A 13,154-nucleotide genomic window follows, 5' to 3' on the forward strand; every position below is an offset into this window, starting at 1 on the left:
GCCATCATTACTGATAGAAAAAACAATGCACATTTCAAGTGTTTATGATAGTGGTTGATAATATCATCTTGGAGTAGAAGAACAGCAAACCTCCTATGTCAAACAGAGCAGCACAGAATGACAGGTCTCTCCATGCAAAAGCTCTGTATGGACTCCTCAGCAAACCTGGAGATCCAGGAAGAGATTCAAGCTAAACGATTGACTTTTTGGCTATCAGTTAAGGAGTTCATCAAATGCCTGAGCCCCTGTCATATGCTGGACTCTACCTTGTGTTAGGTATACATTTTCTGAGCCTTAACAAAAAGATTCTTCCTTAATTTATTTAGCTTCCCCACACATTATTAAGTGGGGGAGAAAATTGCTCAATACACATTATTATGTGGATGTAAAACGTGGACTGAATGGAGGAAAGGCTGTTTGCCTGGAGTCTTTTTTGAGTATCTCTCAGAGAGGCTCATAATTTCAGGTATGGGAGAAAGTCTAGTCATTACCCAGTCCATCACCCTCCTTTCATGCATGAGGATAGGAAGACCCTAAGGATTCTCTGTAGAGGTTACTGTGAACCGTAGTAATTTTGATGTAGCTTTAAGTAGCACGACCTGGACAGAACTGTGGGTGTCCTGGAAAAGAGGAGGAGAGAATAGCAAGAGCAAAAGCTCAGCAGCGGTCTCTTGCTCCCCAGTATCAGGACACTGTTCACATGGGAGGGTTGTGTAGGGCAGAGTAGGAAATACATTAGATTTTTTTGTTTTGTTTATACAGTGTCTCACTCTGTTGCCCAGGCCGGAGCGCAGTGGCATGATAATGGCTCACTGCAACCTCTGCCTCCTGGGCTCAAGTGATTCTCCCACCTCAGTCTCCTGAGTAGCTGAGATTGTGAGCTGAGACTACAGGTGTGCACCACCACACCTGGCTACTTTTTTATTTTTTGTAGAGATGGCATCTTTCTATGTTGTCCAGGCTGGTCTTGAACTACTGGGCTCAAGCGATCCTCCCACCTTGGCCTCCCAAAGTGCTGGGATTACAGGCATGAGCCACTGCACCTGGCCAGAATCTTTTTTTAGAGACAGGATTGTCGCTCTGTTGCTCAGGGTGAAGTGCAGGGGCATAATCATAGCTTACTACCCCTTAAACTCCTGGGTCCTTGACCTCCTGATCCTCCCACCTCAGTATCCCCACCCCACCCAGCTAATTTTTTTTTTTTTTTTGAGACGGAGTCTTGCTCTGTCACCCAGGCTGGAGTGCAGTGGCACTATCTTGGCTCACTGCAAGCTCCGCCTCCCGGGTTCACGCCATTCTCCTGCCTCAGCCTCCCGAGTAGCTGGGACTACAGGCGCCCGCCACCGCACCCGGCTAATTTTTTGTATTTTTAGTAGAGAAGGGGTTTCATCGTGTTAGCCAGGATGGTCTCGATCTCCTGACCTCGTGATCCGCCCGCCTTGGCCTCCCAAAATGCTGGGATTACAGGCGTGAGTCACCGCGCCCGGCCCCATCTAATTTTTAAATATTTTAGAGAGTGGGTCTCTTACTGTGTCGCCCAGGGTGGTCTCGAACTCCTGGCCTCAGGCTGTCCTCCCTCTTCAACCTCCCAAAGTGCTGGGATTACTGGTGTGAGTCACTGCACCTGGAAGGAAATACACTGGTATAGCCTTTAAGGTTCAGAAAAAGATCAAAGGCAGTGCTAACTTTAGTGTACTAAGGAATCTTCTGGAGAATTTCGTGAGAATACACACTGCCTGCTCTTTCTGTTCAAAGGGAGGATATCTAGGCCTCCCTTCAGAGATTCTGGTTTAGTAGATCTAAGTGAGAACTGAGGACTCTGGATTTTTAAACAGCTGTATTGAGATATATTTCACATGTCATACAGCTCATGCATTTAAGGTGTAAAATTTAATATTTTTAGCATATTCATGTCGTTATGCAACCACCACCACTAGCAAATTCTAGAACATCGGCATTGTGTAACCACCACCACTAGCAAATTCTAGAACATCGGCATTGTGTAACCACCACCACTAGCAAATTCTAGAACATCGGCATTGTGTAACCACCACCACTAGCAAATTCTAGAACATCGGCATTGTGTAACCACCACCACTAGCAAATTCTAGAACATCGGCATTGTGTAACCACCACCACTAGCAAATTCTAGAACATCGGCATTGTGTAACCACCACCACTAGCAAATTCTAGAACATTTTTGTCCCTTCTAAAAGAAACCTCATAGCCGTTGGCAGTTGCTTCCCACCGTCAACCCCAGCCCCAAGCAACCACCAGTCTACTTTCTGTCTACATTTGCCTATTCTGGACATTTCATATAAAGGGAATCGTACATTATGTGGCCTTCTCTAACTGGCCTTTTCTACTTTGCATAATATTTTCAGGGCTCATCTATGCTGTAGCATGTATCAGTATTTTATTCCTTTTTAAGGAATGTATCCATAAAATGGATACATTTAAGCTATGCGTCCATAAAATGGATACATTTTTGTGTGTCCATTCTTCTGTTGGATGGTTTCTCCTTTTTGAGTTATTTAAGTAATGCTGCTGTGAATATCTGTGAGGAATCTGCGTTTTTAAACAAGCACCCCGCTTAATTCTGTTGCTGATAGTTCCTGCACATATCTGGAGAAACTCTAACCTGAATGGTTAGTGTTGTAGAATGACTCCCCTCACAGTGCTAAGTCCTCTGTTCCCCATCTCTTATGGGTGCTTCTGCTTGAAGAATCACTGGTCTGTGAGCGGGTGTGTAGTGGCTTAGTGGAAGTGAGGTTCCAGAACTAAATTACATGGTCTGCATGTGCAGGGTAGAGTGGACAGAAGGGACATGACAGGGACAGTAGGCAGAGTAAATGGGTCCTGTACTTTTTCAGAATCTAGTAGTGACTTGACTAGTTCCTGAACTAGGGTGTTGCTGCTGGTGGTGGTAATGGAAAGGAAGAGTCAGAGGTAACAGACTTCATCAAAGGAATACTCTCTTCAGTAATGGTGATTTTAAAATACTCGGCAATTTTTGTTTTTCATTGACTCAGACACAGTTCTGTCTAATTCTGACCTTATCTATTCCTATCATCCTGTTGTTCAAAGTAAATGTATTTTTACCAACTGTTTGAGAGAGGAAATCCTGGGATAATTAGCTGAAGGATATAGTGTAATAAAAAAATACCAAGTTTTGATATTTTGAAGCCTCTGATCTACTAGGGATGTTTAGATACAGTACAAGCCTGAGTCAGAGCTGAACTTCTCAAAGTTCTTTTTCAGACTTGGGATTCTGTGGTATATTCTGAAACTGAAAATAGCTTCTAGGAGATTCACAGTCCCCACCACCACTGCCCATTGGCGCCACTGGGCCCAAAGTGAAGGGCCTAGAACAGCTCACACCTTTTTCTGAGAGCTATAGCACAGCTTTAGAAGAGAGATTGTCGCAGCCAGTGACCCATATCGGGTACTCATAGAGAGGGGTTTTGTTTAATAGGATTACCCTTGACCAGATATCCATGATCTGTTTCACATTTTTCCGTTAGATTATTTGGCACAGATGTGATCAGATTGCCCTTAAGATGCTCTTTGTTCTGTGTACTATTTTTCCCCTCTCCTAACACAAGCATCATTAAAAAAGTCTTGGAGCATTGATACATCAAAAGATTCTTCTTTCTACCTACTTTATCAAAATCACTATGAACACTTTGGTGTATGTTCTTCTAGACTCTTTTCTTTGTTAAAAAAACAAACAAACAAACAAACAAACAAAAAGCCTAGTTTTGCACAGAGTATCACAGCGTGCACTTCCTTGTTAACCTGTTATTTCCCCCTACAAACAATGTGTTGTGAACACCTTCCTATGTTAGCAGATTGATTTCTACAGCATTTAAAATTGGCTGTAGAGTTTTGCATTGTATGGATAAAATACCTTCCAAGTTTTCACTGTTTCATACTGTGATGTATGTTTTCATACATTGTTCTAAAATATCTTAAGCCACATCGTACATATTGCCAGTTTGGTTCTCTGTGAATTTTACTGGTAACAATACAACCTAGATGCTCAGGGTTAATTAAGTATTCTGGGGCAAAGTGCCATTGAACCTGGTTCCTGGTACATACATTCATTCTGATTATTGGTTGGGATAGGTTTATAGTTGTGAAATAGGTGCTACAGACAGTTAACATAAAACATCCTGTAGCTCTCAGAAGATAGAAAATGCACCCTTTAACTTTCAGAAACTTGCATACCTATAAACGTAGAAACAAGGAATTGCATTTTTATTAATTCATGGAATCCAGTCTTCATAATGGATTTAAATAATTCTATTTAAAATATGTGCACACAATCTAAAAGCATTTTGTCATTGTAGCCTAATATCATATAAAAAGAAATTGTGCCTCTGAGTGCACAGTGGACATACCTGTTGTATCATCTGTTTTTCTGGTTTATTGCCATCTTTCTGCCAGAGTCCAGGACCCTAGAGGAGAATTTCACCATCTTCTCTGAAGTAAAATGTGATTTAGGAACCAGCTTGCTTATTTTTTAAAGTAATGAGTATCACTGTTATGTATCAAAAATAAAAAAATAGGCAGATTGATTATAATCTGTAGCCCCTTACTGTAAATTTCAAATAGAAAAGCAAGATTGAGAGGAAATACATCATCATTTTAACAGTGGCTATTTTTGAGTGGTGAGATTATGAACAATTAAACTTTCTTCTTGCTTTTCTGTATTTTCAGATTTCTAGAGTGAACATGTATTATACGCTATAACGCATAGGAATGTGGGAATAAAAATACGGGCCAAATATTTTTAAAAGGTATGGGATGAGGGCGGGTGGGCTGGAAAGAACCCATAAAGATAAGAGTGGGTAGTTACTTTTCCACTGTTAAAGAATGAGGCTTGCCAGCTCCTAAGGAAATCTCTGACCCCACCCTGTACTTTTCAAGCAAGAGCTTTTGAAGTCTTTTGTGCTAGTTAGAGACTAGCATAGTTAGTACAGCTAAGTAAGTATGTAACAGATTCTATTATTAGGTTTATCTTTGCTGATTCCCATTTGATTGACAGCGAGTTCTCCACCCAGAAAGTTTGATTTATTTTGGCAGTTGGAAGAGGATTTTATGGAGCACTTGTTATCTAAAAAAAGTAAGGCTGTGGAACCTGCTTCCCCCACCCCTCTTTTTTAGCTGTTTGGGTTGGTCCTAGTGAGCATGCCTAATCTAAGGATTACTCAGCAAACATGACCTTAGGGCTGGTTTTGTAAATGTTACCAAATCTATTACTTAACCACAGATGTTCTTCCATTGTTGTGTCCCACAGCCAGAGTAGAATGGTGACGATTAGTTCTGTGAGACTTGGATAAAACCTGTATTCTTTAGGTCTCTTTGTATGTGGTGGTTTGAAAGTATTTCCTCACAAAAATTTAAACAATCACATGGTGCAAAGTAAATTGAATTATGTTTTCTTAAAAAAGTTAACTTATATCATTATACAAATTATAGATGCTCATTGTAGAATATTTTAAAAAATATAGCAAGTTCAAAAGAAAAATACAACTTATTCGTTATTCTATTATCCATAAGTTAAGCATTAACATTTTGGTTCTATTTCATTTCAGTCTTTTAAAAAATTGTGTATACATATATAATCTGACTGTGTAAATTGCACTAAGCATTCTATTGTGAACACTTCCTCATAGTCTGGTTTACTTTTTCTATGTTGTAAAAGCAACTTCCTGACACTAGTAAATGGTATTATTTATGATGGGCATGGATACACATATCTTTTATTTTACAGCAGCTGCCTTAAGTAGACTTCCAGTAAATCCTTGAGATGTATGTATTACTTGTGATATTCTTTATTATTATACCCAAATTGATAGATTAGTAGAACTGGCAGGGGCATTGGTCATGGAATTCAGTCCTTTAATTTGAGAAATAATCCTTTGAGCTGGAGCTGCAAGAAATTTTTTTTTTTTTTTAAGAAATGAGAAAAATAAGCCAGAAGAGTTGCCCTTTGCCCAATATTATTAACTTATTTAATGGCCGTAAGATAACACTGTTGGAAGCAGCTGCCTCTTTTCTTGTACAGGTTGGGAAGTTGGGGTATTGAGAATTTAATCAACACATTTTTTTAAAGAACCAGGTTGTACTTCCTTACATGCTCAAGTATGGAGGAAAAAGCCAAACCCTGAGGCTAGTAGTTTAGTATTGAATTGCCAAAATCTATTTATTAATTTCATTTTTCATTCACCAGTTGATTTGATGGCATGTGTAAGCAGTCACCATTGTCTTGATTTCCTGCATGTACCTGTACAGAAGTCATTGTTAACATGATACTACTGACAGTACATGCTTTTCTAGTTGAGGAGTTAAAATAATTTTTTGGCTTTGCAGTTAAACACAGTGGTCGGTATTTAAGGTATTTAAGGAATCGGTATTTAAGGAATCAGTGGAGTTATGAAGTAATATTTGAAGTTTTGATTTTTTAAAAATTGCACATTCAATGTTAACACCTTTCAGTTGGCTTTGAAAAAGCAGTAGATTCTTGGGAGTACTTTCCAGAATATTTGAGAAAAACAATTATGGCTTAGTATTTTTTTTTTAAAGAAAAACAAAGCAATACCCTGAGAGATTATCTAGAAAAATGAAATGGAATTGTTGAGTTTCCCCTTCACCTTGGGAAGAACTCGGGGGAATGGTTGTGAACAACACTGGCTTTGTTGACCCTGAAGTGTAGGCAGTTAGGGCCTGTGAACATGGCATTTATAGTGGTCCACCATCCTTGCTGCCTTGGAAAATTCTTTCTGGAATGGCAGAGGTGCTCTTTGCAAGGCGTGCTTCCTGTGTGAGTACCTATTGTGGAGTCCTCGGTTGAATGGGAGGTTTGTGAGAAGTGGTTTCCCACCAGCACACAATGCTGCCTCTCGGCAATGTAAATACACATTCCACTCAGGGTCAGGCTAACAGTGACTGGCTAGAGCAAACGCCTTCGCAAAGAAAGATATTTTGGAGTTCCATTTATTTATAGCGGCCAGTGGAAAATTAATATGCTTGTTAAATCTATTTTTAAAAATGAAAGGGAAGTCTCTCATCTGTTTGTTGAATGCAAATCAATTAGCTGTGGCATATTTTGATTTTGCTAATTTGTTGCTCTAGGAACTGAATTTCAATGTCCTACTAATTCCTTTGTCTATATTTGAAACTTGAGGTTCTCATTTTAAAAGTTCTCTTTATGCTTTGGAAGACTTCTTTTGGGTTCTTTGATGAAAGACATAAATAAATGAATGACCCTAGAAAATACTAGATCAAATCATGGCGGGACTTAAAATGGGCTCATTGAGCAGTAAATGAAGGTCTAGAGATCAGAGCAGATATGATTCTTCCTTAAGAATGGCAACACAATATTATTTGTCGTTACTTCCTTAGTGTTTGATCATTTGCTTTGAATCTGGGGCATGAGTCTGATTACAGGAGAGATTGCACGGGGATCCCCATCTAACAGGCCTGGATTTATGGGTGTCAAGTCTCCACCTCTCCTGTACTCTGCTGACAGCCCCAGCAGGAAGTACCTGGCCCCCAACATCAGTTTTCTTAGCCCTCCAGCCTGCTTTTCTGCTCTCATGATTTACCAAATGAATTTGCCTCACAAATGTTCTCTAATGAGTGTGGCATAAAGTCCTGGAGAGAGACATCTGTGGTAGAATTAGAATACCTCTTAATTTGGATTAATTTGTTCTTCCTTTAGACCCTGTCAGGTGAACTCTAGTTGTATAATAGAAAGTATAAAGGAGGGACAGCAATCTGTTTTTTTTATGTTTTTACGTATAACTTGCTTGTGTGGAGCAACAACTCTCAAAGTGTCGTCTGGGAGACCCTTGGGTACTCCTAAGACCCTCTTGGGGGTTCATGACATCAAAACCATTAATAATCCTAAAATGTTACTTGTGTTTTTCATTCTGCTTCTTTGAGTTTATTGGTGACATTAACTGAAAAATATTTTGTGTGTGTCTTTTGTGTTCATATAAGGAGAAGTACTAAAATTGAATTGGAGAACATGCCTTTTATACCAAAGCTGAAATTTAAAAAGATTTTTCTGGAAAAATTTTAAAACCCGTTAATGAATTCCTTAAATTTAGAATTTGTGTAACTTCAGCACAGAAGAGTGTCTTGCACAGAGGAGAAACTAAATAGGTATTTCTTAAATGAATGGATGTAGCTGCTTACTTTTTCTTAACAAATTGTATTAGTATAAATTAATGTCATTGTTCACAGGCAGTGTTTAGAATATAGGCAAGCACCATGCTTTCAAACACTGAAATTCACCTATTTGCGTATAAGCCATATATATACCAATTATCATTCTTATCTATTAAATAAAACAAATCTCCTTAATTCTCTGGTGTGCGACAGTTTTCTGTCGAGAGAAAATATTTTTCTAGAGAATTTTGCATTTTTATGTTTTCAAAATGTTTATCTGAATTAGTAATATGACTATATACATACTTTATATTAAAATTTTATCATAATGAGCTAATCTGAAATAGTAAATAGATATTCCCTTACACAGTATGTCTTTGCACCTGCTAATTTGTTTGTTTGTTAACTGTTGTCATTTCATGTGAAATTTCTGTTTCGGTCTCTTCTGAGCTCTAAGTAACACCTGGTATTTGCTTTATGTTCGGTCACATTAAGTGAAAAACAAAGCTGCTTATGAGAATGTCATTAAATGTAATATTTCTCAAGAAATAACTTGCCTTTAGTTAATAAAAAACAGTTCTAAACTGATTTTCAATGTATCAGACAGTGTTCTTACTGATTTCCATCCCCCCAACCATGCAGGAGTGAGAATCAGATAATTTTTTGAAAAAATATTTGAACCAATATCTACAATTGCTTATGTCAGAAATCTTTGAAATATATATTTAAGTATAAATAGGAGGAACTGTCAGTGATGTTTAATGGTACAGATTCTTTTCCTTATAATGAATGTTTCATAACATCGGTTCAGTTAAACAAAACTGAGTGTGTAAAATAAACATGATTGAATTCTATACGAGCTGATTAAACAAAAAATTTTAGTATCCTCCTGGCTGATCAGAAATGAAGGTTAAGGCATGGGGTATGTTTTGAAGACAAATTCACCTTCTGTAACACCTGTCAGATTTCAAAGTCTAGAAAAGAGGCCACAGCTGGGAAACCAAATTTAGACATTGGGGCTTATCTCAGATGAAAGGTTTCGTAGAGCATGGAGGTCTGTTGACTTTGTGTGGTATTTCGTCAGAAGTGTCCAATGCAGATTCGTTTTTAGTTAACTGAGTATAACATTTCATTGTAATGCTATTTAACCTTATGCCTTTATTTCTAGAACCCTAGAATTCTAGCACAGTGCCACCACAAAGTGGGTACACAGTAAATATCTGGTTAACACAATGGTTGATTACCTTTTTTCAAGTTCTTTTGTTTGATGTTATTTTATAAGGTACCTTTCAGCTAGGTCCTTCTTTTGGAATATTGTTATTATTAAAGGGAGAAGCCTTCAACCTGCTTTATACTTATTTTACAGTAGTTACTTAAAATTAATAGAATCTTGAAACCCTTTGTACCAAAGATATTACTCTAGCAGTCTCTTCATCAATAACTTGCTGCCCTTTGGAAATAATTTTGCTTTTGTGTTTAATCATGGCACATTTCATTAAAATCACCATGGAAGACATAACTTTAGCAATTTATAATTTGGTTTCTGCTAGTTTTTTCCCCCCTCTAATTTTAAACCATCTAGGCTAAATGGTAGTATAATGGATTTGCTTCATCTTCCTTAAGCTACTTTAAAATGTGCTCTAAAAATTATTAAGTCTGCATTTTGGTAAGGAAGCACCAAAAACTCAATTGTAGCCTTTGTGGAGGGGAACCAAGCACTCCTTAGGAGGGAGATGTACTCTCATGGGTTGTCTTTGAAAGTTACCTTTTGATACCTTTTCTGTTTTGTACCATGTGCTTGTTTTATCTAGTCTTTAAAACTCACTAACCTATATATAAATTTTAGCCAGCTCTTCTACTTGGGTTTTGTTGTCAGATTCTTAGATGTTACAATTAGCTCGCTAAGAGCATGGACTTTTCATTATCACTTTCTGAGTCTCTTTGGGAAAATTATTTCTTTAGCCTTAGTTACTATATTTGTAAATGGACAATACCAGCTACTTCATAGGATGTTTTGATGCTAGGTAAGAATTAGTGTGCAGGTGCCCCAAACAGTGCCTTTGCCCCAGCAGGCTGAAATAGCAGCTTCAAAGCTCTTCCTCCACATCTTTCCAGAAAGCAATCAGTTGTTTGGTGCTTGCAACACATTTTTTTTTTCTTCTATTCAAGGGTGTTATGCATGTCTCTTAGGTGCCCAAATTGATGCACAAATGTGAATTTGATTCGTAATAGATCTCTACAAATAGAACAATAAAATACATTTTGGATCTTATTAAAGGGCTATCTGGAAGTCATGTACTTAAGCAGCCATATCATTCATATTATACATAAAGAAACTAAGACACAGAGAGCTTACATAGGAAAACCTTGAACCACAGTCCTGAAAAGCAGTGGGACCTGTCAAAGTGCTGTGGGGTGCCAGGCAGGTGTAGTGCCCAAGGTCTGGGCAAGGGCTGGGTAAAGCGTGAGCTTCTGGCGCTGGGGAGGAGGAGCATGTGTTCTGACTTCCTGTCTCTTTCCACCTCCCCGTGCAGATTAGAATTAGACTTCCTCAAGGGGCTTTAGAAGTGATGTTTTTCACTATCTGACTACAGTTCTGTAGACTTTTCTCTCACTGTCTTACAGAAACACATAACATTTCAAATTTCACTGAAAATCTATATTTTCAGTTATTCCCATGTTTGGATGCTGTGACCAGGTTAGCTTGGGTATGTGTGAGAATAAGGGCTCATAGCTTTGGCATGTTTCCTTGTAGATACTTGACTGTCATCCTTGGGATGTCAGGGTGTGAGATGTATTGTGATATGAGTGTACCTGGAATCTAAGTGTTCTAATAAAAATGGTTAATTACGTCTGCAAGCTTATGTAAATACCACTTAAAAACAACGAACAAAGCAAACGAACCTTTGGTTGGTAAACTTTTTTTGTAGATAAGCCCCCTTTCCCTTTTAGTTAATATTTGCAAAACTGAGCTGGTATTATGTGAGGATGTGGATCTGAGGTCAAGAGATTGTGTATATATAGTGATGTAATTTTTTTCCATTTAGTTTTTATGTTTCTGTAAAATTTGGGGTATGTCGGGCTGCTATGGAAGCAACCTCTTTATATTAATAGGGGTTTACGGAAGCAGCCTCAAATTACATGTAATTTTTACTCATAATCCTTATATATATGGATTTTTCTCCCCGAGAAAATAGTGCTTTCCTGTACATTAGATTTGAGTTCAGACATGACTCTGCTTTGCCAAATTTAAAATTATGCCAAGCCAAAAATGTTTAAAAAGCATCTATGGATTCTTGAAGGCAGGGCCTATACAATAGGGACATCCATCCCCTTTTTGCACTTAAGGGCACAGTGGATGGTTCCTTTGGGCTTGTTGCTTGAACCTAGTATTTATTTTAATCTGAAGTGGTGGTGTTTTTAATCTAAAAAACTCAGTTTCACAGGATTTCTCTGTGGATTTAAATGCTCCCGACTAAATCTTTTATGCTTATAATTGGATGTAAAACGCAAGAACGTTTTTAAGGTTAAGAACTTTTTCAGACAACTGTGATTTTACTTCACTAATGAACACATATCAGACAAGAAGGCAAATTCCAGACTGTTTGTGCCTCAACCAAGCAGCTGGGCACATACCTCCAGGTACTGCTCATGTCTCAAGAGGTTTTTCTGCATGAACAATTATCACCACTCCTTCTTTCCTTCAAGTGGCAAGCCATGGCAAGAGTCTTTCTTGCACAGCTGTATAGAACTCAGCTGTAAAATTAGATTTTATTGGCATAAAAACACAGTGATTATCAGCACTGTGTGCTCAATACATTCTTTTCTCAACATTTTACTTAGATTCTTCCTTTTATGCAGAAGGCTCAAGCTGTACTTAAATGAAGGAAACAGGTTTTTAGAAGTTTTTTTATGTGTCTTTTTTTAAGCTTTAGTTTAATCAATATTAGGTATGCAGGGTAAGCAATTGGTATTGAAGGGAGGAAACATACTCCCTTAAGATCAGAAAGGAACCTTAAGGGCTAATCTATAATATTGTCATTTTATAAGAGGAAATTAATTACTGAAGTTCAGAGCTAATTATTTTATTGACAAATCCCAGATTAGAACTCATGTTTTCCAATACTCAGTGCTGGAGCCTGTCCACTATAGTTTTTTTTTTTTTTTCCAAAGTTTTTTTTAGCATAGGGGATGTGAAAAATTCTAATAACAGTTCTTAGTCCCTCTCCATATCCTTTTTTTGTGCTACTTAATTTGATTTTTTAAAAAGCAAAGGGGAATGTTTGCCTGAAGTGTACAGGAGCGATTAGCTCAAGGAAAAGCACTAAAACAACCTCTAGGTTTCTCCTGTCCAATGGCAGTGTCCCACATCAGGTTCATAATGGCGACATGCTAATTCCACATGGGCAGAGCCAATGCCAAGGCATTGGTGTAGTGTTACTGGGAAGAGAAAGAAAAGCCATATTCTCACAGTAGCAGGGAAGTGGTCAAAACAGTCAGGTGTGTGTTGATGGATGAGCAGATTTTCCCAGAATTTCAGAGGTAAAGAAGATCACATTGTGTTTCTATTTTGTTTTAATGAAATTTTTTTCCTTTTGTTGATGCTGTTGGTGTTTCCATGGTTATTATCAAAAGCAGTTTCTGGTTTTGCTGAAAGGCTAGAAATGACAACTATTTTCAGAGTTTCTAGGTCTTGAAACATCAGTCAACCTTTCAAAGCCAGCATTGATCAAGAAGGAAAGAGGTTTTTCTAATGAGGAAAATAAAATAGTAAATGATACTTTGACATTCCATTAGTTGTAGGAATGTGTGCCCCAACTGACTACCTTGCTTTGCTCTCTCTCTTTCCCTCTCTTTTCTAAGTTTTGCTAATAATAAAACTTAGGAAGTACACATTTAGGAAACTGTCTGTCCTTGTGACTGATGGCATTTATACATAAAGGCCACCCGGGGTGTATGGGGGGAGGTTCATG

General features: G+C 38.0%; 1 protein-coding gene across 11 annotated transcripts in view, besides 3 other annotated features; it reads left to right on the forward strand.

The window, feature by feature from the left end:
• Positions 1-13,154, forward strand: part of FNDC3B (fibronectin type III domain containing 3B) — a 362,092-nt gene that overhangs the window by 52,491 nt on the left and 296,447 nt on the right. The window contains exon 1 of one of the 11 annotated variants that reach the window (XM_024453716.2): positions 12,653-12,723. The exons of the other annotated variants lie outside the window; for them this stretch is intronic. The gene's annotated coding sequence lies outside the window, so the exon portion shown is untranslated. Of the gene's footprint in view, positions 1-12,652; positions 12,724-13,154 lie in introns of those variants that run through there. 11 annotated transcript variants of the gene reach the window in all.
• Positions 11,067-11,211: an enhancer, noted in NCBI's record as "145 bp enhancer 67 fragment used in the MPRA reporter construct; PK_construct_309". NCBI's record gives its function as "activates an SV40 promoter by MPRA in HepG2 cells {active_cell/tissue: HepG2}" and the evidence as "EXISTENCE:reporter gene assay evidence [ECO:0000049][PMID:23512712]".
• Positions 11,132-11,145: a transcriptional cis regulatory region, noted in NCBI's record as "HNF1 motif; enhancer activity is reduced when this motif is scrambled". NCBI's record gives its function as "necessary for full MPRA enhancer 67 activity {active_cell/tissue: HepG2}" and the evidence as "EXISTENCE:site-directed mutagenesis evidence [ECO:0005528][PMID:23512712]".
• Positions 11,777-11,976: an enhancer, noted in NCBI's record as "active region_20818". NCBI's record gives its function as "activates an Ori minimal core promoter by ATAC-STARR-seq in GM12878 lymphoblastoid cells {active_cell/tissue: GM12878}" and the evidence as "EXISTENCE:reporter gene assay evidence [ECO:0000049][PMID:35858748]".

This window comes from Homo sapiens, chromosome 3 (assembly GCF_000001405.40).
Source record: "Homo sapiens chromosome 3, GRCh38.p14 Primary Assembly".
NCBI classification, from domain to species: domain Eukaryota; kingdom Metazoa; phylum Chordata; class Mammalia; order Primates; family Hominidae; genus Homo; species Homo sapiens.